The sequence below is a fragment of the Homo sapiens genome, chromosome 6, assembly GCF_000001405.40.
Source record: "Homo sapiens chromosome 6, GRCh38.p14 Primary Assembly".
NCBI lineage: Eukaryota > Metazoa > Chordata > Mammalia > Primates > Hominidae > Homo > Homo sapiens.
Window position 1 is genome coordinate 118,812,261 of NC_000006.12, and position 27,148 is coordinate 118,839,408.

Consider the following 27,148-nt stretch of genomic DNA (forward strand, 5'->3'; position numbering starts at 1 on the left):
AGACTGAGCATTAAATATAAGCACAATGAGGCAGTTATAACACATAACAGTCTGTGATAGAAGTTTAACATTTTAGTAAGAAGGATGTTTATACAGGTTGAATATCCCTAATCGAAAAATCCCAAATCCAAAACTTTGTGAGTACTGACATGATGCTCAAAGGAAATGCTCACTGGGGCATTCTGGATTTTGGATTTTCAGATTTGGGATGCTCAACCAGTAAGTATAGGTATAGTGCAAATATTCCAAAATCCAAAAAAATCCAAAATCCAAAACATTTCCAGGCCTAACCATTTCAGATAAGGGATATTCAATATGTATTGGGTATTTTATTTCTTCTAATAATTATGTCTGTTTAAAATATTTAGGTATGTAGTTATTTCTATCTGGGTAAGTACCAAAGAATAAACATATGGAAGTGGTAATTTGGCCAAATCTTGACAGAAGGTACTAAAATGGAAAGTGGATTGATTAGCACAAAATAATAGGATGCATGGTGGGCACAAATTATAACCAGGTAGAAGGTGGCATTGGCAGTCATACACAATGACCAAGGAAGAAAGACAATTCAACATGTAATTTAAAATATGAATTACTCAGTGTCCTAAAGAGACAAGGTAACTATGAAAATTAAATCTCTCATTACTAAAAATGAAACCTCTAAAACCAAAAGTCCCAATAAAGAATACAAATATTTTAAATAACATAACAGATCAAAATACCCTAATGACATGCCAATAGGTTAGGTACTGTCAGCCATGCAAAACCTAATACATAATTACTGCAAAAGATACCAAGTTTCAAAGACAAAAATTCATAAGACATGGACTTAAAAATTTACCATTAAAAAAAGTCAGCTCCACACTGTGGCTTAGGTTTGAGTCATCCTCATCTAAATAATCAGACCACGCCCAGATCAAGATTCAGCTGGTCAAAAACCCACTTCCATTCCTTTTCCTTTAGTTCTGGTAAGAACACTGAAACCCAGGAAAGCAATAAAACTGAAAGATTAGGAATATATTAAGAATCATAGTATACTGGTAAATTATTAAACAGGTACAGAAATAATAAATTTTATAATCATTGTTTATATATGTCTTTTATCAGCTGTTTAAGGTGTTTCAAACTTCAGAGAATGGTACTCATTATGGCCAATCATTTCAAGACTCAGCCACACTAAATTTGTACTCACAGTTTAAATTTTTTCAGAAAATTTTATTAGTGAATTTTAGAACGTTTAAATGCTTAAGAAAAATTGGATTTTCTAAATTTGTTTTCAATGCGTGAATTGAATGAAGTGAAAATTAAACAAAATACATATAGTTTTGAGTATTCTATGTCCAAAAGTCCCTCTGACAATTAAACAATCAGTTTACAAATTCACACTTCAGAAGAGAAAGTCCATAATTACTGAATCCTAATAACCCTTATTAGAATCCAAAGGAATAAGTGATTTTAAAAGCACATAGAAAGACAAAGCTTGAGGTTATCTATTCTGACCAAAAACAGTATATAATTTCCTTGGTTTTAAAGACAAGTGAATCACAACTTAGTAGGAATCACATTTCCATATTAACCAGCTGGGTAGATGAGACATGATGTTTGATTGAGACTACCACATAGTCTCTCTTCTTCATTTATTTTATTTTTAGAGACAGGATCTCACTCTGTCACCCAGGCTGGAATACAGTGGTGTGACCACAGCTCACTGTAACCCCGAACTCCTGGGCTTAAGCAATCATCCTGCCTCAGCCTCCCCGAGTAGCTAGGACTACAGGAGTGAGTCACTGTGCCTGGCTCATACTCTCTCTTCTTCTAATCACAGTATTTTACTTGGTTGAAGGTAGGCCCCCAAGAGAAAAAAGAATCTGAAGTACAAAATGTTGGCTCAAGAAAGAAAGGACAACTCAGAAGGTCAGTACTTCAGAAAGGTACTGTTTGACCAGTGGCCAGATCTCTAAGAACATCATGGAATTGTAAGGATACCTCTCAAAGAAAGAAAAGCATTAGTCACATTTAACCTGATCCACACAAATCAATACAAAAATAATACTAGAAAAATAGTCTGATTTTGGCAAATCATCCAAGTGATTATATTCACTGTACTTAGCCCATTCCAGGTGAAAATACAAAAAAAAAAAAAAAAAGTAGAAAAGAGTTCATCTGCCTTGTTAGATTTATGAGTGCTACCTTCTTGACATTTGTTCCTGAGTGAATGAAAGAAGAAATTAATCTAGGGAAGAACCTCTCCCCCTTAAAAACAAAACAAAACAAAAAACAGAAACAGCTTCAGGAACAGGAATACAAGTACTCCATTTGTAAAATTAAGCACAACATAATTAATTCAGCTCAGCTGCTGGTATCACACTGACCTCAACTGATTATACAACTTTTTAAGTCATGAAGATTAACCTGAAATTAGAAAGCCTTAAGGGGGAGCCAGTATTCAGAGTGATCCTCAATATGGCCAATTGTTCTATACATTTATAAATACCATATTGATATCCTGAAGGTCCTCTGTGGAGTTGAAGAAGGTGAGATTTGACCAGAAAGCTTTTCCCAACTATGACTTTTTTCTCATCTCTTCATCCCAGTCACAATCAAATGCTTCATCACCTAGTTCTGGTAAAGTGAAGAGGGATTCTTTGGAAACAATCAGTTTCTCGGTGGACCCACGGAGCTGAAAAGATTTCCTTTTACTGACACGCATTGGAGCTGTGGTTGTAGGAGGGGAGCTTGGGCCTCTCTCACCTCGGTTCTTCCTTTCAGGAGGAGGGGATTTTGATTTGGATTCCGATGGGGGAGTAAAGCAGAAGTTTGCCAATCTGGCTAATGTGCAGGCATGAACCTTGCCGCTTTTATTACTGCCTGAAACCTCTTCCTTTTTGTCTCCCTCACAAGTAAGATGAGCACACCCAGTCTCGTTCCCAAGCTCTAATTCAGGCTGAATAATCCTCTTCTCAGGGGCACACATCACCTTCTCTCTTGGTCCGTGTTTCTCTGGTGGCTGCTGCGACACCTCCTTTGTCTCACCCTGTGGCTGACTGGAGATCTGGTTTCCTGGGGTAGATGTTAACTTTCCTGGACGCTTCACCGGCAAGGCTGCGTCTCTTCTTGTTCTACGCTGGGAAATTTTAGGACTATGAACTGCTATTTTAGTTGCACCAGGTGACACATGGCTGTGATCTTCAAAGGAGTGGATCAGTTTTGACTTCTGCTTGAAAGTAAATTTTGCCAGTTTGGCCACAGGGGAACCTGGAGGCTTAACATTTTCAATTGCAGGCTCTTCCACTTGCGCAAGGGATTTCGGTCTCTTTCTTTTGGGTGAGTCCAGCATTCTGTCTGGGCTATGTACAGGAGTGGACTGAGGATGGGAAGGGACTGTGCACTGTGCAGGCACCCTGGTGCTATTTCTGCACAACTTCTGGGCCCTCTCTTTGCACAGCTTCTGCAGGTTCCTGGGGACATGATGAGTCAGTACTGAGTCTGGTTTATCAGCAGAGACTGCTGCTTCAGAATCTAGTGCTAGCCTTTTTTTCTTGTTACTTTCCACATTGTCTGCCCTCCATGGAACACCTGTCTCTCCTGGTGATGGAAGCAACCCAATGTCCACTTTGCTCCTTTGGCCTGGCTCACTCTTCTCCTTACCCTGAGATGTGCTGTTAGAGATCTTCGAAGCCATATTTTCTCCAGATGTTTTGGGATGAGGAGACACAACAACAGTGTTTTTAGGTTCACTCTGATGAGTTGCCATGAAATCAAACCAATCTAAACTGTCATCTCTGTTATTTTTGTGCTGAGCTGAATGTTTCCTACTTGTTGATCTATTAGGCTCCAGATGCGGTGGGGGATCTAGAACTGGGCTTCCCTCGGGGCTGCCTCCAGGAGAGAAGATATGTGTGCTATAGTTGATTTCCTGCTGTGATGAAGTTCTGAAGTTTGATTCTTCCCCTGGACCATTTCTCAAGGATCCTGGAGTAGTCTCTACCTCCAATACCCGTGGTTGGGATTGGTGCACACTCTGATTCTGTAACCTGTAGCAAAGACAAATAAATAAAACATGTCTTGAAGGGAAGAGAATTTGTGCTAACCTATTCATTTCTTTAGTCTCTGAGATACCATCTTAAAGATTTAAGTCCCACATAATTCCAAGTTAATATCAAATACAACCTCCTAGAGCAGCAGAATGAAATAATCCTTTTTTAAATCAATATACAATTTACATACTCAGATAAACACTAATTTAACCTAAAATTGTAGTAAAATAAAGAAAATGAAATCGGAGATTTGTCTACATTTTTAGATCTCTCCAAAAGTCCAATTCATTCATTTAAGATTGTTTGAAGATCAGTGTAAAATCCTCAGCTTTATCTCTCATGTTAAATGTTCAAATACAAGACAGACCTGTTGCTACCCACACAGTAGCTGATTGCTGACCAAGTAGGTTGTTGGCTAACTTGCTTAGTAGTCAGTTTGCAGATCAAGGAACCAAAGTGAAAGACTGGGGATTATGAGGTCTCACATCTCTTTACCCAGTTGAGGTACTGAGTGCATCTGAGCAGTCACCTTCCTCAGGAGTCAAGAGTCTGTGATACTTCTGTACTGGTGCTCACACTGCCGCCTCCTGTACTCCCATTCATGGCAGACCTCCCCAGGCAACTGTGACAATCTTTCCTGCAAAGCCCAGGCATGTTTAAACATATTTACTGGGCAGCTACTCTTTTATCAATTTGATACAGAATTAAAATCTATTTACTTTCTACGAATGAAAGATCTGTTCAGTGATAATCATTTTAAATGATTTTAAATCATTTTAAATATCTTGGGCATATTAGAAACTGAAATATTGCCAGAAGGACAACTTTCTTGTTTTTTTTTACTTTAAGTTCTGGGATACATTTGCAGAACATGCAGGTTTGTTACATAGGTATACATGTGCCATGGTGGTTTGCTGCACCTATCAACCCATCATTTAGGTTTTAAGCCCCACACGCATTAGGTATTTGTCCTAATGCTCTCCCTCCCCTTGTACCCCACCCCCCAAAAGGCCCCAGTGTGTGACATTCTCCTCCCTGTGTCCATGTGTTCTCATTGTTCAATTCCCACTTATGAGTGAGAACATGTGGTGTTTGGTTTTCTGTTCCTGTGTTAGTTTGCTGAGAATGATGGTTTCCAGCTTCATCCATGTCCCTGCAAAGGATATGAACTCATCCTTTTTTATGTCTGCATAGTACTCCATGGTGTATATGTGCCACATTTTCTTTATCCAGTGTATCATTGATGGGCACTTGGGATGGTTCCCAGTCTTTGCTATTGTAAATAGAGCTGCAATAAACATACGTGTGCATGTGTCTTTACAGTAGAATGATTTATAATCCTTTGGGTGTATACTCAGTAATGGGATTGCTGGTTCAAATGGTATTTCTGGTTCTAGATCCTTGAGGAATCGCCACACTGTCTTCCACAATGGCTGAACTAATTTACACTCCCACCAACAACGTAGAAGCATTCCTATTTCTCCACAGCCTAGCCACCATCTGTTGTTTCCTGACTTTCTAATGATCACCATTCTAACTGGTGTAAGATGGTATCTCATTGTGGTTTTGATTTGCATTTCTTTAATGACCAGTGATGATGAGCTTTTTTTCATGTTTGTTGGCTGCATGAATGTCTTCTTTTGGGAAGTGTCTGTTCATATCCTTCACCCAGTTTTGATGGCTTTTTTTCTTGTATATTTTTTTAAGTTCCTTGTAGATTCTGGATATTAGCCCTTTGTCAGATGGATAGATTGTAAAAATTTTCTCACATTCTATAAGTTGCCTGTTCACTCTGATGATAGTTTATTTGGCTGAGCTGAAGCTCTTTGGTTTGATTAGATCCCATTTGTCAATTTTAGCTTTTGTTGCAATTGCTTTTGGTATTTTAGTCATGAAGTCTTTGCCCATGCCTATGTCCTGAATGGTACTGCCTAGGTTTTCTTCTAGGGTTTTTATGGTTTTAGGTTTAAAATTCAAGTCTTTAATCCAACTTGAGTTAATTTTTGTATAAGGTGTAAGGAGCAGGTCCAGTTTCTGTTTTCTGCATATGGCTAACCAGTTTTCCCAGCATCATTTATTAAATAGGGAATCCTTTCCCCCTTGCTTATTTTTGTGAGGTCTGTGGAAGATCAGATGGTTGTAGATGTGTGGTGTTATTTCTGAGGCCTCTGTTCTGTTTCATTGGTCTATATATCTGTTTTGGTACCAGCACCATGCTGTTTTGGTTACTGTAGCCTGCAGTATAGTTTGAAGTCAGGTAGCGTGATGCCTCCAGCTTTGTTCTTTTTGCTTAGGATTATCATGGCTATACCGGCTCTATTTTGGTTCCATATGAAATTTAAAGTAGTTTTTCCTAGTTCTGTGAAGAAAGTCAACGGTAGCTTGATGGGAATAGCATTGAATCTATAAATTACTTTAAGCAGTACAGCTATTTTCACAATATTGATTCACCCTATCCATGAGCATGGAATGTTTTTCCATTTGTTTGTATCCTCTCTTATTTCCTTGAGCAGTGGTTTGTAGTTCTCCTTGAAGAGGTCTTTCACATCCCATGTAAGTTGTATTCCTAGGTATTTTATTTTCTTTGTAGCAATTGTGAATGGAAGTTCACTGATGATTCAGCTCTCTATTATTGGTGTATAGAAATGCTTGTGATTGGTGCACATTGATTTTGTATCTTGAAACTTTGCTGAAGTTGTTTATCAGCTTAAGGAGTTTTGGGGTGAGATGATGGGGTTTTCTAAATATACAATCATGTCATCTGCAAACAGAGACAATTTAGCTTCCTCTCTTCCTATATGAATATCCTTTATTTCTTTCTCTTGCCTGATTGCTCTGGCCAGAACTTCCAATACTATGTTGACTAGGAGTGGTGAGAGAGGGCATCCTTGTCTTGTGCCAGTTTTCAAGGGGAATGCTTCCAGCTTTTGCCCATTCAGTATGATATTGGCTGTAGGTTTGTCATAAATAGCTCTTATTATTTTGAGATACTTTCCATCAACACCTAGCTTATTGAGAGTTTTTAGCACGAAGGGGTGTTGAATTTTATTGAAGGCATTTTCTGCATCTATTGAGATAATCATGTGGTTTTTGTCACTGGTTCTGTTTATGTGATGGATTACGTTTGTTGATTTGTGTATGTTGAACCAGCCTTGCATCCCAGAGATGAAGCTGACTTGAACATGGTGGATAAGCTTTTTGATGTGCTGCTGTATTCAGTTTGCCAGTATTTTATTGAGGATTTTCACATCAATGTTCATCAGGGATACTGGCCCGAAATTTTCTTTTTTTATTGTCTCTCTGCCAGGTTTTGGAATCAGGATGATGCTGGCCTCATAAAATGACTTAGTGGGGAGTCCCTCTTTTTCTATTGTTTGAAATAGTTTCAGAAGGAATGATACCAGCTCCTCTTTGTACCTCTGGTAGAATTTGGCTGTGAATCTGTCTGGTCCTGGACTTTTTTTGGTTGGTAGGCTATTAATTACTGCCTCACTTTCAGAACTTGTTATTGGTATATTCAGGGATTCAACTTCTTCCTGGTTTAGTCTTGGGAGGGTTTATGTGTCCAGAAATTTATCCATTTCTTCTAGATTTTCTAACTTATCTGCATAGAGTTGTTTACAGTATTCTCTAATGGTAGTTTGTATTTCTGTGGGATCAGTTGTGGTATCCCCTTTATCATTTTTTTATTGTGTCTATTTGATTCTTCTCTCTTTTCTGCTTCATTAGTATGGCTAGCGGTCTATCTATTTTGTTAATCTTTTCAAAAAACCAGCTCCTGGATTCACTGATTTTTTGAAGGGTTTTTCGTGTCTCTATCTCCTTCAGTTCTGCTCTGATCTTAGTTATTTCTTGTCTTCTGCTAGCTTTTGAATTTGTTTGTTCTTGCTTCTCTAGTTCTTTTAATTGTGATGTTAGGGTGTCAATTTTAGTTCTTTCCCTCTTTCTCCTGAGGGCGTTTAGTGCTATAAATTTCCCTCTGAACACTGCTTTAGCTGTGTCCCAGAGATTCTGGTATGTTTTGTCTTTGTTTTCATTGGTTTCAAAGAACTTATTTATTTCTGCCTTAATTTCATTATTTACCCAGTAGTCATTTGGGAGCAGGCTGTTCAGTTTCCATGTAGTTGTGCAGTTTTGAGTGAGTTTCTTAATCCTGAGTTCTAATTTGATTGCACTGTGGTCTGAGAAACTGTTTGTGATGATTTCCAATCTTTTGCATTTCCTGAGGAGTGTTTTACTTCCAATTCTGTGGTCAATTTTAGAATAAGTGCTATGTGGTGCTGAGAAGAATGTATATTCTGTTCATTTGGGGTAGAGAGTTCTGTAGATGTCTATTAGGTCCACTTTGTCTACAGCTGAGTTCAAGTCCTGAATATCCTTGTAAATTTTCTGCCTCATGGATCTATCTAATACTGACAGTGGGGAGTTAAAGTCTCCCACTATTATTGTGTGGGAGTCTAAGTTTCTTTGAAGGTCTCTAAGGACTTCTTTTATGAATCTGGGTGCTCCTGTATTGGGTGCATATATATTTAGGATAGTTAGCTCTTCTTGTTGCATTGATCCCTTTACCATTATGTAGTACCCTTCTTTGTCTTTTTTGATCTTTGTTGGTTTAAAGTCTGTTTCATCAGAGACTAGGATTGCAACCCCTGCTTTTTTTTTGCTTTCCATTTGCTTGGTAAATATTCCTCCATTCCTTTATTTTGAGCCTATGTGTGTATTTGCTCGTGAGATGGGTCTCCTGAATACAGCACACTGATGGGTCTTGACTCTTTATCCAATTTGCCAGTCTGTGTCTTTTAATTGGAGCATTTAGCCCATTTACATTTAAGGTTAATATTGTTATGTATGAAGTTGATCCTGTTATCATGATGCTATCTGGTCAATTTGCACATTAGTTGATGCAGTTTCTTCATAGCATCAACGGTCTTTACAATTTGGTATGTTTTTGTAGTGGCTGGTACCAGTTTTTCCTTTCCATATTTAGTGCTTCCTTCAGGAGCTCTTGTAAGGCAGGCCTGCTGGTTACAAAATATTTCAGCATTTGCATGTCTGTAAAGGATTTTATTTCTCCTTCACTTATGAAGCTTAGTTTGGCTGGATGTGAAATTCTGGGTTGAAAATTCTTTTTAAGAATTTTGAATATTGGCCCCCACTGTCTTCTGGCTTGTAGGGTTTCTGCCGAGAGATCTGCGGTTAGTCTGATGGGCTTCCCTTTGTAGGTAACCTGACCTTTCTCTCTGGCTGCCCTTAACATTTTTTCCTTCATTTCAACCTTGGTGAATCAGATGAGTATATGTCTTGGAGTTGCCCTTCTCGAAGAGTATCTTAGTGGTGTTCTCTGTATTTCCTGAATTTGAATGTTGGCTTGTCTTGCTAAGTTGGGGAAGTTCTCCTGGAAAATATCCAAGTGTGTTTTCCAACTTGGTTCCATTCTCCCCATCATTTTCAGGTATACCAATCAATCTTAGGTATGGTCTTTTCACACAGTCCCATATTTCTTGGAGGTTTTATTCATTCCTTTTCATTCTTTTTTCTTTTCCTAATCTCATCTTCATGCCTTATTTCAGTAAGTTGATCTTCAATCTCTGATATCCTTTCTCACGCTTGATTGATTTGAGTACTGATACTTGTGTATGCTTCATGAAGTTCTCGTGCTGTGTTTTTCAGCTCCATCAGGTAATTTACGCTTCTTTCTAAACTGGTTATTCCAGTTAGCAGTTCCTGTAATCTTTTATCAAGGTTCTTAGCTTCCTTGCATTGGGTTAGAACATGCTCCTTTAGCTTGGAGGAGTTTGTTATTACCCACCTTCTGAAGCCTACTTCTGTCAATTCGTCAATCTCATTCTCTGTCCAGTTTTGTGCCCTTGCTGGAGAGGAGTTGCAATCATTTGAAGAGGCATTCTGGTTTTTGGAATTTTCAGCATTTTTGTGCTGGTTTTTCCTCATCTTCGTGCATTTATCTACCTTTGATCTTTGAGCTGATGACCTTAGGATGGGGTTTTTGTGTGGGGGCCCTTTTTGTTGATGTTGTTGTTTTTGCTTTCTGTTTGCTAGTTTTTCTTCTAATAGGCCCCTCTTCCACAAGTCTGCTGCAGTTTGCTAGAGGTCCACTCCAGACCCTGTTTGCCTGGGGTATCACCAGTGGAGGGTGCAGAACAGCAAAGATTGCTGCCTGCTCCTTCCTCTGGAAGCTTTGTCCCAGAGGGGCACCAGCCTGATGCCAGCAGAGCTCTCCTACATGAAGTGTCTGCTGAACCCTGCTGGGTGGTCTCTCTCAGTCAGGAGGCACAGGGGTCAGGGACCAACCTGAGGAAGCAGTCTGTCCCTTAGCAGAGTGTGCTGCTAGAATCCTCCTAGTTAGGATCAGCTGCTCTCTTCAGAGCTGGCAGGCAGGAAAGTTTTAGTCTGCTGAAGCAACACCCACAGCTTCCCCTTCCCCCAGGTGCTCTGTCCCAGGGAGTTTTATCTGCAAGCCCCTGACTGGGGCTCCTTTCTTTCAGAGATGCCCTGCCCAGTGAAGAGGAATCTAGAGAAGGTATCTGGCCACAGCCAATTCGCCACACTGTGGTGGATTCCACCCAGTCCAAACCTCCTGGCCTCCTTAGCACTGTCAGAGGAAAACCGCCTACTCAAGCCTCAGTAACGGGGGACACTCCTCCCCCTACAAGCTCGATCATCCCAAGTCGACTTCAGAATGGTGTGCTGGCAGCAAGAATTTCAAGCCAGTGGTTCTTGGCTTGCTAGACTCCATGGGAGTGGGACCCACTGAGACCATTCAGCTCCCTGCCATCAGCCCCCTTTCCAGGGGAGTGAATGGTTCTGTCTCGCTGGGGTTCCAGGTGCCACTGGGGTATGAAAAAAAACTCCTGAAGCTAGCTCAGTGTCTGCCCAAATTGCCACCCAGTTTTGTGCTTGAAACCCAGGGCCCTGGTGGTGTAGGCTCATGAGGGAATCTTCTGATCCGTGGATTGCAAAAACCATGGGAAAAGCGTAGTATCCAGGCCAGGTAGCACAGTCCCTCACTGCTTTCCTTGGCTGGGGGAGGGAAGTCCTCCGGGTCCTTGTAAGTCCAGGGTGAGGTGATGCCCCACCCTGCTTCTGCTCACCTTCTGTGGGCTGCACCCACTGCCTAACCAGTAGTCCCAATGCGATGAACTGGGTACCTCAGCTGGAAACGCAGAAATCACCTGCCTTCTGCATTGGTCTTGCTGGGAGCTGCAGACCACAGCTGTTCCTATTTGGCCATCTTGCCAGATCTCATATTTTCATTTCAAATTTCCCTTTGGTCATGAGGGAGGATGACTTCCTAATAAGGATTGTAGTTCCCTAGAAGTAGGTCCTTTAGAAAGCCTTTCCTGACAACCTAGAAATGCCTTTTTCTTATAAAGTACAATATGATCCCTCTTCTACGTGCTTACTTTGAAAAGATATTATACCAGAAAGCAGATGAGTAAGTTATTCTAAAATTCATGTATAATCATAGAAAATATAAGGAAATACCTTATATTTAAATATATTTAAATACATTAAAATGTTAATGGTATATATCTCTGGGAAATAAGACTACATGTGATTTTTTTGTTTTCTAATTAATTCATCACTGCTACTTTTAAAAATACAAAATAAAAACATGCATTACCTTTATAATCAGAAAAAAAGCCCCCAAAATTATTGTAAACATATTGGGTTACATTCATTCACAGTAGGTTTGAAAATATCAATAAGCAAACCCACCTTTTTTTTTTTTTTTTTTTTTTTTTTTTTTTTTTTAGACAGAGTCTCTCTCTGTCACCCAGGCTGGAGTGCAGTGGCACGATCACGGCTCACTGAAACCTCTGCCCCCCGGGGCAAACCCATGTTCATTTTTACTAATTTGAGTTACAACCAAACAAAAAAGCAAATAGCTTTCAAAATTACTACTACCTAGCATACTTTTCAGCATCAAATTGAGGTCAGGGATACTGATAATTGTTAAAGTTCTGCAAAAATCTCCTAAAAGATGAGAATAAGTTAGGGTAGACTAAGCCCTATTATTTTAGTCTTTCTTTTTTTTTCAGATGGAGTTTCACTCAATCTTGGCTCACTGCAACCTCCACCTCTTGGGTTCAGGCAATTCTCCTGCCTCAGCCTCCCGAGTAGCTGGAATTACAGGCGCCCGCCAACACACCCAGCTAATTTTTGTATTTTTAGTAGAGACAGTGTTTCACCATGTTGGCCAGGCTGGTCTTGAACTCCTGACCTCAAGTGATCTGCCCACCTTGGCCTCACAAAGTGCTGGGATTACAGGTGTGAGCCACCGTGCCCCGCCTGCACTCTGTTTTGAGGCACATAGAATGGCCGAGTCAGACTGTCACCAGTATAAAGCATTTTCTGGAAGTAAAGCATGATAAAACTATAAATGGTTTCATTATAATTATCTCCTTAAGGAACAGAGAACTCTTTCCAAAACAGTAAAAACTCATATGCTGGTTGGGTTTTTTCTCACTTGATAAGATTAGCATTAGATTGTGCCTTGGAGGTAATTCACTTTCATTTGCATAGTACCTGGTTTTGTTGCTTTCAGGAGGATCAACACCAGAACATGCCTCTACATTATAAATAAATACCAGTAGAAAAAAACATTTTAAGGTAGAATCCTGTCTTTTAGATTGTCAAATACTCTTTCGTTTTTCCTTTCTTTCCCTCCAGGAGGGTCATTTTAAATTTGGGAAGTCTAATTGCCATCTTTCTAATTCATAACAATGATTCTGGGCCTCACTTTTTCTCCTTTCCCGAATCCAGCATATGTCAGTTTCTGGTAGCTTGGATCAGTCAAAATGAGCAGCCTCTCCAAAAGCAAAGCCAAGCCCAGGAGCGGCTTGAAAAGAATCAGCTACATCAAATCATAAACAACCCAAAGGAATAACTTTGATCTTGGCACCATGTTCTGGATCATAAAATGAGCCAGGAGACCAAAAGAAAGAGGGGCGAATTTTATACAAAGTGCAAGTTTACTGCAGTCTGGCACCTGGCTATTAACAGGATAATGCCCATCCCCGCACTTCCCCAGGAAGGCTGTGCTGAAGTTTCAAAAACTAGAAAGAGAAGGATGCTGTGAGAAGGAAGAATTCTCAAGGATTTTTTTTTAACGTAGTCAACAGTCTCAATGTGGTCCCCAAATTCTTTGCAGCTGTTCCACTTTTTCATGTACTTCATTCACCAGACCCCGGCTTTGAGACCAACACCAGTAAGAGCTGCAGGTCAATTATTAAGCCATTCACACTGATCATGAAGACACCAAAAATGGATAAACTTGCCATTCCTCACTCCTATTTCTCAGGCTTACACGCAAAACCTAGGTTTTTAGAAGTCCACATATTTCGGGAGTATGCGAACATTAATAGTTTGGGCAAAATTTTTTTGGTAGAGTCCACATTCACACTAAGGCATGTGACATGTTTCTTCCCATGTATCCTCCTTGTCTATTATTCACATTTTAATGAGTCATTAGAAAGGTAAGTTTTGAAATGTTGCTTCTGTCATTGCTGAGTTGTTATCTCAGCCAACACAATGTGGAGCAAAGACAAGCTATCCCCACCGAGCCTGCCTGAATGTCTGATACCCAGAAAAGTGAACACTAAAATGCTGGTGGGGGTGGTGTTCGCAGTCACTGAGTTTTGGAGCAGTTGATTATACAGCAGTAGAAAACTGAAACAGTCTCCTATAGATAGTATCTGCCTGTCCTAAGAACTTACTGACCCAACACCTGATAGATAGATTTTTCCACTTAATGCACACTTGCTTTGTTTCACTAAATGCCAAACAAGGATTTTCCATTGTATGCCTTTCTGGGTTTTCATTCCTCACCTTTCAAGTCTTCTAAGCTCTTCACTCAAGAGGCTCTGCAGCTCTAGCTTTTCCAGAATAAGTTCACACTGTCTCTGGTACTGCTCTCCAGGGTTTTCAGGAAAGGAAGTGTGGAGGGCATTCACACCTCCTAGCAGTGCACCTCCCTGAAGGGGTGAGAAAATACCAGGAGAGTCACCAGGCCAGCCTGCATAGCGGTAAGTACACTCTAGGGACCAGCAATCCCCGGGGGCTAAGACCGCCGTTTACACCCCTATACTGGGTATGAAAATCACTTGGGAGGCTTTTTCAACTTTCTATAGTTCACTCCCCCAGTTCTTGGTGGCAATCATTGCTCTAGGAAGCTATACTGTCACTGGTGGGCTATGAACATCTCTCAGGTGTGTTGAGGAAAAAAACGATCGAAGCGCACTACTTTACATCAATAGGCAAAAGCAATGCCACCCATGCAGCAAATATCTCCAGGACACTGTTTCCTCTTCATTTAATCGGTTACCTTTGGATATATTTCCAGGAATTACTAAGTCTAGAATATGAGCATTTTAATAACTTTTGATATGTTAATAAAGTGTCCTTTTTTAAAAAAAAGAAAGTTTGTAATTAGGATAAAAATTAGGTACACAAAATATCCTTACCTGCATTGAGGACTCCATGACTGACACCACCGTAATAGCGTCTTCCAGAGTTACAGTATCACGAAACATCAGGCGAGCATGAGCTAAGAAAACAAAACACATTTGTTTTTTAGGAATATTTGAGGTGAGAAATGTAATTCTCTAACTTCCTCCTCCTCACCATTTGTATTTTATGAATGAGCTATTAATAACAACATAATTTTACTAGAACAAGCACAAAAGTCAACATTCAACTAGCTTTAAGGATGTTTCTATAATGAGCCTAATCCTTCTGTGTAGCCCACACAATCTTGTATATTTATATGAAAAAGTACTCTGGGCTCTAGCAAAAAAACGGGCTATATAAACATACATTTAATATTCAGCAACTTTAGTCCTCATTTTCTAGTCTTTTATAAAACTACACAAAATTAAAACTCATTTTTCATTTCTGGCACTCCTCTTTATGATCTATGAGCTTTTCAAAGCTACCAAACAAGCAATTCTAAATTCTGAGTATTTCTTGCCCTAATATTAGCTATAAATCCTTGAAAAAAGAAAGTCCATTTGTTTTACAGTATTTTTTATTAAGCTTGTATTATTTTATTTTATTATTCAGTTCATGTGAATTCTTTTTTTAGATTTAAACAAAAGCTAAAATGTAAAAGCCAATGTTAGAAGAAAAGAATTAAGATACATGTTAGCTATATGTATATATGTAATGGGGCAGGGCATGGCATTGTCAAGTTGGTTGCTATAATGACAGGGGTGGACTGCAACTGGCAATTAATGAGCAAGAACTAGTGATGCTATATGGGAAACAATTCCAAACAAGAAACTGTCCTACTCAAAATGCTAACAGAGCTACCACTGAGAAACAAAATATCAGAAGTAAGGCTTTCTAAGTGAATGGTATATTAAGTTCTAGGAGGTCCCGAGATGGCACAAAGATTCCTCTTTCTTAATGACACCACATTCCAGTCAATACTCATAATCTGTCCTCAGAGGAGCAGAGATCTTCTGGCTCAGAGCCTTTATTTTTAAGTGACTATGAGCACCTTAGAGTGGGAGTTATTCTCATTCAACTTTGAATCCATGGTGCCAAGCCCCATGCCTTGCACACACGCAGCATTCAATACAAGCATCATTCGCTGAATGAAATAGACCTTCTGCTAATCGTATCAAGCTTTCCAACAGCCGAATGGTGGTCCGGGCAGCGTTCCGGCAATCACTCTGCCTTTGCATCTGGTAGTACCGGAGAAGAACCTGATTGCCCACATCAGACAGTGTGGGCTGCAGATTCCTTATGAGGCAGAAATAGGTTTTCATCTTTTCCATGCTCCAGAGCTTCTCTGATTTGCTTGGGTAACCTGTATGTATCAGGTGTTGGGTCAGTAAGTTCTTAGGACAGGCAAACATCTCATTTTAAGGATTTTTATAAAGTTCTGGTACTCATTTGTTAAAAGATAACCTTCATGTTTTGTGGTTATTGAAATCTAGACTTGTCTGCATAGCATACAATCAGCATCTTATGATCTAAGCTTAATAAAGGTAAGCTTCCTGCCTTTATTAAAAATTATTCAGAATAATTCTGGTCTGCCCAGTAATCAATAATATTCAAATACATCTATTTTTTTTTTTTTGAGATGGAGTCTCACTCTGTCACCCAGGCTGGAGCGCAGTAGCACGATCTCTGTTCACTGCAACCTCTACCTCCTGGGATCAAGCAATTCTCCTGCCTCAGCCTCTGCAGCAGCTGGGATTACAGGTGTGCACCACCACGCCCAGCTGATTTTTGAATTTTAGTAGCGATGGGGTTTCATCATGCTGGCTAGGCTGGTCTTGAACTCCTGACCTCAGGTGATCCACCTGTCTCAGCCTCCCAAAGTGCTGGGATTACAGGCGTGAGCCACCACGCCCGGCCTGAGTAAATCTGATTTAAAGAGAAGCCTACATTTAGAGATTTGTTTCACAATTCATTCTGGTTTTATATGCAAGAGGTGAGCGTTAATTCTGTATCATAAGGTTGTCCCCTTTCATCATAAGGCACATATTTATAACAACTTTAGTCTCATTAGTGGCAGGTAGAGAAAGGCCCTTTTCCTTCAACTCAGTATTCTGAGGCCCCGTAAGTGGCTCCTCTCACTGCTTTCTGTCTAAGCTTTTCTCTATTGCCTGGTACTACATAGCCTATCTTGGGTATTTATTTAATTTTCTTGAAAGGGAATTTCTTTTAGTTACAGCTAATCTCTCTGTTATTTTGAATGCTTTGTTTGTCTTCACGTACCTTTATTTTCTAAGATAAAGGAGGAAATGATACGATCCCAGTCTTCATTCTTGGTATCAAGCAAAACCAGGATCAGGTCAAATCGACTTAAGAGTGGGCTGCCGAGGGCAATGTTCACAGACACGGACTCCTGGGGGTCGTACTGGCCTTTGGGGTTCGTTGCTGCCAGGATGGTGGTCCTTGTGTTCAGCTTGCACACGAGGCTGCCAGGAGAGACAGTACAATTCACTGATTGTGAGGTTCAGATAAAATGCAAGATTACAGCTGTTAATAAAATGGGGCTGCTCTTGCACCTTGAAAATCTACGAACTCCTATGAAAGAAAATGTAGAATGACAGAAGGAGATATCACAAACATCAACTTCCAACAAAGTATACTGAAACTATTCTATCTTAAAGAGAAGTAACCGTTCAATAAACACTTTTTATGCCCCTGCTATGAGGAGACCCCTTTGCTAAGTGCTAAGAAGTATCCAAAATTAAACCAAACTCTTCTTAAGGGGCTTGCAATCTACTAGCTATAATGTAACACAAGGCAGAATATGGTTAAGTTCTAAAAGAATAAAGTTCCCAGGGGAAATAGGGATGATGTATATTCATCTATGTGGATAGAAAAGATGAACACAGAAGCAAACACTGTGAAGCAGCTTTTGAACTGAACCTTTCAAGACCTCTGGACATTTTTAGGTGGAGAAAGACAGGCATTTGCAGAGGGGGTGAGGGTAGAGAGTGAGGATGACTCTGGAGAATAGTGAGTGGTTGAGGCAAAAACTTTCTGTGTATTCACTCATTTTGTTTTGATTTTTTTTCTAAACACGAAAGAAACAAAAAAGAGAGAAAGAGGGAGGGAAAGGAAATCAGAAAATATGATTGATTTGGCATTGAGTTTTTGAGGAGCCATTGTGAAGGGAAGTCTGATGAGGACTGGGTTGGTGAGTGGGTTGGACAGGAAAGGACTGTGGACAGGATGCAGGGTAGGGGCTCTAGTACAATGGTCCAGTAGAGGGACAAGGTAGTCCTAAATGGAGCGTGGCAGGATAGGGATGGATGTGACATAACTTAGATATTGTTTTTAAACTAATTAATGATGGGCTAGTTCTCAAAATAATGTGACATATTCATTGGCAATAACAAATGTAAAAATTTGAATCTGTAAATTTGTATGCTGTGCACTTGATGCCCATTTTTAGTTATAGTGGGATGTCTGCCTCCCAAGTCACAGCCCTATGACATCAGCAACATGTATTACATTTGTTAATCCCTGATCTATTTCTAGCTAGCAGCTACTTCATTCCCTGAGGCTGAAAATGTTTGAGAATCTTTATTTGTGGCAAGTGGCACAAGAAGACACTGATTAAATAAATAAGAGAAAGATAAACAAGGCATTTTTACCAAAAACTAAATTCCCTTTTAAAAAATTAGTGACAAGGAAAAATTCTGGACAGTCCACATCTTATAATTTATGTGTCAAAATGGCTTTTGTAAAGACAGTTGTTTAGAACTTGGAATATAATTTGCCATAGAACAATGTAATAAGCGGTTCCTAAGTAACCCACAAAAGCACATTTAACCCACACTGAAGACGGACTATTTGTATTTCTTATTTAAAAATGTCCACAACACTGGCAATGAAACAAAATACAATTGCATATGACATAATTTTTATAAAATTATTTTTAATGCTAGGTCAAATGAATTGTTCATTCATCCTCTCTCTGACCAACCAATATTTATAGACCATTTCCTTTGTGCAAAAAGCTGTACTGAGAATCCAAAAAGGTACATATCTGATCTCTGCTGCCAATTAGTTTACAACAGAACTGCTGGGGAAAGAAGAGGTGGAGCAGAGTGCCTGCCAGATCGTAAGTGTGCAAGGAGTGCTGGTGTCAGTATCAGCATTAGTATCAGCAGGGAGAAACTTCGGTGGGGACACCTGGAGATCTATAGGGGATATAATTGGAGAGTTTTCCAATGTATGAGAAGAAAAATGAACACAGAAAGAAGGTGGTAAATTATGCCTAAGGTAACTGGGGGAATTAATTTTTCCATTAGAAAAGCTTAAGCTTAAGAATCATGCTGGTGGATCGCCAGAGCTCAGGAGTTTGAAACCAGCCTAGTCAACATGGTGAAACCCCATCCCTACTAAAAATACAAAAAATAGCCGGCACGGTGGTACACACCTGTGGTTCCAGCTGCTTGGGAGGCTGAGTTGGGAGAATCACTTGAGCCTGGGCGGTGGAGGCTGCAGTGAGCCGAGCTTGTGCCATTGCACTCACAAAGCAAGAGACCATCTCAAAAAAAAAAAAAAAAAAAAAGTTGGGGGTGGGGAGAACTAACAAAAATTTGTATGCAAAGAAAAAAGGCTGTCTGAGGTGAAGTCAGCAGAAATAGGAGCAAGGAAAATACGGGAGTGGGCAGAGGAAGAGGAGATTATGAGAGATAAGTCAGGCAGATCCCTGTAGCAAAGAGGGAGGATGAAGACAGTGCCAGGACAGACAGGGTGGTCTCTGGGCATTTGAAAGTGGGGAAGACCATATGTAAACCTGGTGGGTACAGACCTGTGATACAAACATTTTTTAAAAAAACTAAATGGGGCTTTAGAAAACAAACACAAATACATACATACAATCTAATCCTAAGTATACAGTGCGTAGTAGTGGCTCACTAAATACTAAATGAATGAATTCATAGACTGTAAGGTAACTCATTTTTCTATCCCATATGAACTCTACCTTCAACAATATTAATAAAAATAACTACATTTTTAATATCAAGCAAGCACTGCATTAGGTTTACAAAGATCATCCCTAATCACAGCAACCTGAAGGGTAGGTGCTATTATCACAAACTTAGAAATAAGGAAACTAGAAGTTCAGGAATATTAACTTCCCCAAGGTTACACTGAGAGGAGCAGAGCTGAGATTCAAACCTAGATCTGCTGGGCTCCAAAATCAATGCGCTTTTACTTCCAGACTGCCGATTCTGCCTGGGATTTTCGGCATCAACTTATTTGCCTTACTTATTTTTTTTAAAAGACATGGTCTCACTCTGTTCCCCAGGCTGTAGTGCAGTGGAGCAATTACAGCTCACTACAACCTCAAACTCCTGGGCTCAAGTGATCCTTCTGTCTCTGCCTATCAAGTAGCTAGCATTACAGGTGTACATCACCATGCCCAGCTGATTTTCAGAAAATTTTTTGTGGAGATGGAATCTTGCTATGTTGCCCAGGCTGGTCTTGAACTCCTGGCCCCAAGAATCCTCCCGCCTTGGCCTCCCAAAGGGCTGGGATTACAAGTGTGAGCCACCTTGCCCAGCCTATTTTTGTCCTACTAAATGTGGTCTTCCTTGAGAGATTGTGATTTATTGTTATAATCCTCACACTGCCTGGTACATAGTAAATGCTTAATAAATGTACATAATTTAAACGACAAATAAAAATAAATCTTTACTTAGTTCAGTATTTCTGAACTTCAGCATTATTTTACATTTACAGGCTTTGTCATAAAAGGATGCTGATACATATTTCTTTTGTATTAAACTTCAAGAAGTAAAGACATTCCAATTTCTGAAAAAACTACTTTTACATTTATTTAATGCACACATTTAAACGTCCTACAAACACAGTAGTAACTGTTCTACTAATAACTTGTGTAACCTAACATTGTAAAGTTATTTTTACCAGTAAAGACCCTTAAGAAAGTGCCCTTGTTTTTGTGAAGGTCTCCCATTACTCCCTTTACGGGATGATCCTCATCTTTACTTATGGCTTTGATCACCACCTATATGCTGGTACTTCCAAATTTATCTCCAGCCTGTGGCACCAGGTGCTATATGTTCACCTAACCTTGTTTTCTTTCCATCCTGGGAATAGAGCAAGATTGTATTTCCTATTCCCATTACAGTGAAGTAGGGCTATGATACCAAGTCTGGACAATGAAGTAAAGATAGAAGAACATAAACCACTTTTAGGTCTGGCCCCTAAAAGCCTTCCTGTGCAATCTTTTTCTCTCTCTTTACTAGTGGAGTACAGAAGAGGATAAAGCCCTGGAGTCAGAGAGCCACATGAGAGAAGGAGCTTGGGCCCGGAATCATTGTCGGAGCAGAGCACACCACCCTCAATCCACATCAGACTGACACGAACAAGAAAAACTTCCTTCGGCAAAGCATTGCAGGCACGTGGTGAGCACAGGAAAAAACTGACCAATCTTCAAAGAGAAATGAAAAGCAATGAAGACATCTCAGAAATTTGAGGTTTTGAAGTGTTAGGGAAAAAAAATTGCTTCTAGACCCCAGACAGTAAGAAGCAAAATTGAAAAAAGCTTGAACAAAGGCCCAGTAAATTTTCTCAGTTGTATAAAGTCACTTAGATTGAGCATGAAATCTGCTTTAGATGGTGGTAAGGTAGCCACTGTTAAGTAATGAAGCCCACACCCATGTTCTCAGCAGCACTACACACACAACAGCTGAGAGGCGGAGAAAATCCAGGCGTACATAGATAAAGGAATGGATAAGGAAAACGCGGTCTATACACACAATGGAAAATTGTTCAGTCTTAAAAAGAAAGAAAATGCAAACACATACTACAACATGGAAGAACCTTAACTATATCATGCTAAGTGAAATAAGCCAGTTACGAAAGATCAATACTGTATGATTCCACTTACCTGTGAAATACCTAGAGTAGTCAAATCCATAGAAACGGAAAGTAGAATGGTGGTTGCTAGGGGCTGGGAGGAGGAGGAAATGGGAGTTTTTTTAAACAGGTATAGAGTTTCAGTTTGCAAGACGGAAAGAGTCCTGGTGATTGCTTGTACAACGTGACTTATACTTTTTAAAAATTATTATTATACCTTAAGTTCTGGGATATATGTGCAGAATGTGCAGGTTTGTTACATAGGTATACATGTGAAACGGTGGTGTGCTGCACCCATCAACCCATCATCTACATTAGGTATTTCTCCTAATGTTATCCCTCCCCTAGCCCCCCACCCAGTGTGTGATGTTCCCCTCCCCGTGTCCATGTTTTCTCATTGTTCAACTCCCACTTATAAGTGAGAACATGCAGTGTTTGGTTTTCTGTTCCTGTGTTAGTTTGCTGAGAATGACGGTTTCCAGCTTCACTCATGTCCCTGCAAAGGACACGAATTCATCCTTTATGGCTGCATAGTATTCCGTGGTATATATGTGCCACATTTTCTTTATCCAGTCTATCATTGATGGGCATTTGGGTTACTTCCAAGTCTTTGCTATTGTGAACACTGCTGCAATAAACATACGTGTGTATGTGTCTTTATAGTAGAATGATTCATAATCCTTTGGGTGTATACCCAGTAATGGGATTACTGGGTCAAATGGTATGTCGGTTATAGATCCTTGAGGAAATCGCCACACTGTCTTCCACAATGGTTGAACTAATTTACACACCCACCAACAGTGTAAAACAGTTCCTATTTCTCCACATCCTCTCCAGCATCTGTTTCCTGACTGTTTAATGATCACCATTCTAAATGGTGTGACATAGTACCTAATTGTGGTTTTGATTTGCACTTCTCTAATGACTACTGATGATGAGCTTTTTTTCACGTTTGTTGGCCATATAAATGTCTTCATTCCAAAAGTGCCTGTTCATATCCTTCACCCACTTTTTGATGTGGTTTTTTTTTTTCTTATAAATTTGTTTAAGTTCTTTGTAGATTCTGGATATTAGACCTTTGGCAGATGGACAGATTGCAAAAATTTTCTCACATTCTGTAGGTTGCCTGTTCACTCTGATGATAGTTTCTTTTGCTGTGCAGAAGCTCTTTAGTTTAATCAAATCCCATTTGTCAATTCTGGCTTTTGTTGCCATTGCTTTTGGTGTTTTAGTCATGAAGTCTTTGCCCATCCCTATGTCCTGAATGCTATCACCTAGGTTTTCTTCTAGGGTTTTTATGGTTTTAGGTCTTACGTTTAAGCCTTTAATCCATCTTAATTTTTGTATAAGGTGTAAGGAAGGGGTCCAGTATCAGTTTTCTGCATATGGCTAGCCAGTTTTCCCAACACCATTTATTACATGAGGAATAATTTCCCCATTGCTTGTTTTTGTCAGGTTTGTCAAAGATCAGATGGTTGTAGATGTGTGGGATTATTTCTGAGGTCTCTGTTCTGTTCCATTGGTCTATATATCTGTTTTTGGTACCAGTATCATGCTGTTTTGGTTACTGTAGCCTTGTAGTCTAGTTTGAAGTCAGGTAGTGTGATGCCTCCAGCTTTGTTCTTTTTGCTTAGGATTGTCTTGTCTATATGGGCTCTTTTTTGGTTCCATATGAAATTTAAAATAGTTTTTTCTAATTCTGTGAAGAAAGTCAATGGTAGCTTGATGGGGATAGAATTGAATCTATAAATTACTTTGAGCAGTATGGCCATTTTCACAATATTGATTCTTCCTATCCATGAACATGGAATGTTTTTCCATTTGTTTCTGTCCTCTCTTATTTCCTTGAGCAGTGGTTTGTAGTTCTCCTTGAAGAGATGTTTCACATCCCTTGTAAGTTGTATTCCTAGGTATTTTATTCTCTTTGTAGCAATTGTGAATGGGAGTTCACTCATGATTTGGCTCTCTGCTTGTCTATTACTGGTGTATAGCAATGCTTGTGAATTTTTCATATTGATTTTGTATCCTGAGACTTTGCTAAAGTTGCTTATCAGTTTAAGGAGATTTTGGGTGAGACAATGGGGTTTTCCAAATATACAATCATGTCATCTGCAGACAGAAACAATTTGACTTCCTCCCTTCCTATTTGTACCCATTATTTCTTTCTCTAGCCTGATTGTCCTGGCCAGAACTTCCAATACTATGTTGACTAGGAGTGGTGAGAGAGGGCATCCTTGTCTTGTGCCAGTTTTCAAGGGGAATGCTTCCAGCTTTTGCCCATTCAGTATGATATCGGCTGTGGGTTTGTCATAAATAGCTCTTATTATTTTGAGATATGTTCCATCAATACCTAGTTTATTGAGAGTTTTTAGCATGAAAGGGTATTGAATTTTATTGAAGGCCTTTTCTGCATCTATTGGGATAATCAAGTGGTTTTTGTCATTGGTTCTGTTTAAGTGATGGATTACGTTTATTGATTTGCATATGTTGAACCAGCCTTGCATCCCAGGGATGAAGCCAACTTGATCGTGGTGGACAGGCTTTTTGATGTGCTTCTGGATTCAGTTTGCCAGTATTTTATGGAGGATTTTCTCATCGATGTTCATCAGAGATATTGGCCTGAAATTTTCTTTTCTTGTTGTCTCTGCCAGGTTTTGATAGCAGAATGATGCTGGCCTCATAAAATGAGTTGGGGGGAGCCCCTCTTTTTCTATGGTTTGTAATAGTTTCAGAAGGAATAGTACCAGCTCCTCTTTGTACCTCTGGTAGAATCTGGCTGTGAATCCGCCTGGTACTGGGCTTTTTTGGGTTGGTAGGCTATTAATTACTGCCTCAATTTCAAAACTTGTTATTGGTCTATTCAGGTATTCGACTTCTTCCTGGTTTAGTCTTGGGAGGGTGTATGAGTCTAGGTATTTATCCATTTCTTCTAGATTTTCTAGTTTGTTTCTGTAGAAGTATTTATAGTATTCTCTGATAGTAGTATGTATTTCTGTGGGATCAGTGGTGATATCCCCTTTATCATTTTTTATTGTGTCTATGTGATTCTTCTCTCTTTTCTTCTTCATTAGTCTGGCTAGCAGTCTATTTTATTCATCTTTTCAAAAATGAGCTCCTCGATTCACTGATTTTTTGAAGGGTTTTTCGTGTCTCTACCTCCTTCAGTTTTGCTCTGATCTTAGTTATTTCTTGTCTTCTGCTAGCTTTTGAATTTGTTTGCTCTTGCTTCTCTAGTTCTTTTAATTGTGACATAATTGCTTCTCTAGTTCTTTCAATTGTGATGTTGGGGTGCTGAATTTAGATCTTTCCCACTTTCTGATGTGGGCATTTAGTGCTATAAATTTCCCTCTGAACACTGCTTTAGCTGTGTCCCAGAGATTCTGGTACGTTGTGACTTTGTTCTCATTGGTTTCAAAGAACTTATTTATTTCTGCCTTAATTTCGTTATTTACCCAGTAGTCATTCAGGAGCAGTTTCCATGTAGTTGTGCAGTTTTGAATGAGTTTCTTAATCCTGAGTTCTAATTTGATTGCACTGTGGTCTGAGAGACTGTTTGTTATGATTTTCACTCTTTTGCATTTGCTGAGGAGTGTTTTACTTCCAATTAATTATGTAGTCAATTTTAGAATAAGTGCTATGTGGTGCTGAGAAGAATGTATATTCTGTTCATTTGGGCTGGAGAGTTCTGTAGATGTCTATTAGGTCCGCTTGGTCCAGAGCTGAGTTCAAGTCCTGAATATCCTTGTTAATTTTCTGTCTCGTTGATCTGTCTAATATTGACAGTGGGGTGTTCAAGTCTCCCACTATTATTGTGTGGGAGTCTAAGTGTTTCTGTAGGTCTCTAAGAACTTGCTTTATGAATCTGGGTGCTCCTGTATTGGTTGCATATATATTCAGGATAGTTAGGTCTTCTTGTTGCATTGATCCCTTTACCATTATGTAGTACCCTTCTTTGCCTTTTTTTATCTTAGTTGGTTTAAAGTCAGAGACTAGGATTGTAACCCCTGCTTTTTTTTGCTTTCCATTTGCTTGGTAAATATTTCTCCATTCCTTTATTTTGAGCCTATGTGTGTATTTGCACGTGAGATGGGTCTCCTGAATACAGCACACTGATGGATCTTGACTCTTTATCCAATTTGCCAGTCTGTGTCTTTTAATTGGGACATTTAGCCTGTTTACATTTAAGGTTAAAATTGTTATGTGTGAATTTGATCCTGTTATTATGATGCTAGCTGGTTATTTTGCCCATTAGTTGATGCAGTTTCTTCATAGCATCGATGGTCTTTACAATTTCAAATGTTTTTGCAGTGGCTGGTACCAGTTTTTCCTTTCCATATGTAGTGCTTCCTTCAGGAGCTCTTGTAAGGCAGGCCTGGTGGTGACAAAATCCCTCAGCATTTGCTTGTCTATAAAGGATTTTATTTCTCCTTAGGTTATGAAGCTTAGCTTGCCTACATGTTAAATTTTGGGTTGAAAATTCTTTTTTTTTTTTTTTTTTTGAGACGGAGTCTCACCCTGTCACCCAGGTTGTGAGTGCAGTGGCAGCGATCTCGGCTCACTTCAAGCTTCGCCTCCCAGGTTCACGCCATTCTCCTGACTCAGCCTCCTGAGTAGATGGGACTACAGGCACCCGCCACCACGCCTGGCTTTTTTGTATCTTTATTAGAGACTGGGTTTCACCATGTTAGCCAGGATGGTCTTGATCTCCTGACCTTGTGATTCTCCTGCCTCAGCCTCCTGAGTAGCTGGGACTACAGGCACCTGCCACCACGCCCGGCTTTTTTGTATTTTTATTAGAGACTGGGTTTCACCATGTTAGCTAGGATGGTCTTGATCTCCTGACCTCATGATTCTCCTGCCTCAGCCCCCTGAGTAGCTGGGACTACAGGCACCCGCCACCACACCTGGCTTTTTTGTATTTTTATTAGAAACAGGGTTTCACCATGTTAGCCAGGATGGTCTTGATCTCCTGACCTCGTGATCCGCCCGCCGCAGCCTCCCAAAGTGCTGGGATTAGAGGCGTGAGCCACTGTGCCCGGCCGAAAATTCTTTTCTTTAAGAATGTTGAATATCGGCCCCCACTCTCTTCTGGTTTGTAGGGTTTCTGTAGAGAGATCCACTGTTAGTCTGATGGGTTTCCCTTTGTGGGTAACCCGGCCTTTCTCTCTGGCTGCCCTTAACATTTTTCCCTTCATTTCAACCTTGGTGAATCTGACAATTATGTGTTTCAGGGTTGTTCTTCTCGAGGAGTATCTTTGTGGTATTCTCTGTATTTCCTGAATTTGAATGTTGGCCTGTCCTGCTAGGTAGTTTTCCTGGATAATATCCTGAAGTGTGTTTTCCAACTTGGTTCCATTCTCCCTGTCACTTTCAGGTACACCAATCAATCGTAGGTTTGGTCTTTTCATATAGTCCCATATTTCTTGGAGACTTTGTTCGTTCCTTTTCATTCTTTTTTCTCTAATCTCATCTTCACGCTTTATTTCATTAAGTTGATCTTCAATCTCTGATATCCTTTCTTCTGCTTGATCAATTCAGCCATTGATACTTCCGTATGCTTCATGAAGTTCTTATGCTATGTTTTTCAGCTCCGTCAGGTCATTTATGTTCTTCTCTAAACTGGTTATTCTAGTTAGCAATACCTCTAACCTTTTTTCAAGGTTCTTATCTTCCTTGCACTGGGTTAGAACATGCTCCTTTAGCTCAGAGGAGTTTGTTATTTCCCACAT

At 39.8% G+C, this 27,148-nt stretch overlaps 1 protein-coding gene across 9 annotated transcripts in view; it reads right to left on the minus strand.

The window, feature by feature from the left end:
* MCM9 (minichromosome maintenance 9 homologous recombination repair factor) overlaps nt 1,195-27,148 on the minus strand; it is a 121,705-nt gene continuing 95,751 nt past the window's right edge. For 4 of the 9 annotated variants that reach the window (NR_165493.1, NM_001378356.1, NM_017696.3 and 1 more), the window contains 5 exons: nt 16,788-16,990; nt 15,667-15,870; nt 14,522-14,604; nt 13,887-14,032; nt 1,195-4,034 (listed from right to left, as the gene is read on the minus strand). Coding sequence is in view for 8 of the 9 variants with exons in the window: in NM_001378356.1 (NP_001365285.1) it covers nt 2,564-4,034; nt 13,887-14,032; nt 14,522-14,604; nt 15,667-15,870; nt 16,788-16,990 (2,107 nt within the window). In the remaining variant the exon portion in view is untranslated. The remainder of the gene's footprint in view (nt 4,035-13,886; nt 14,033-14,521; nt 14,605-15,666; nt 15,871-16,787; nt 16,991-27,148) is intronic. The other 5 variants (NM_001378366.1, NM_001378360.1, NM_001378359.1 and 2 more) reach the window with 2 other exon arrangements.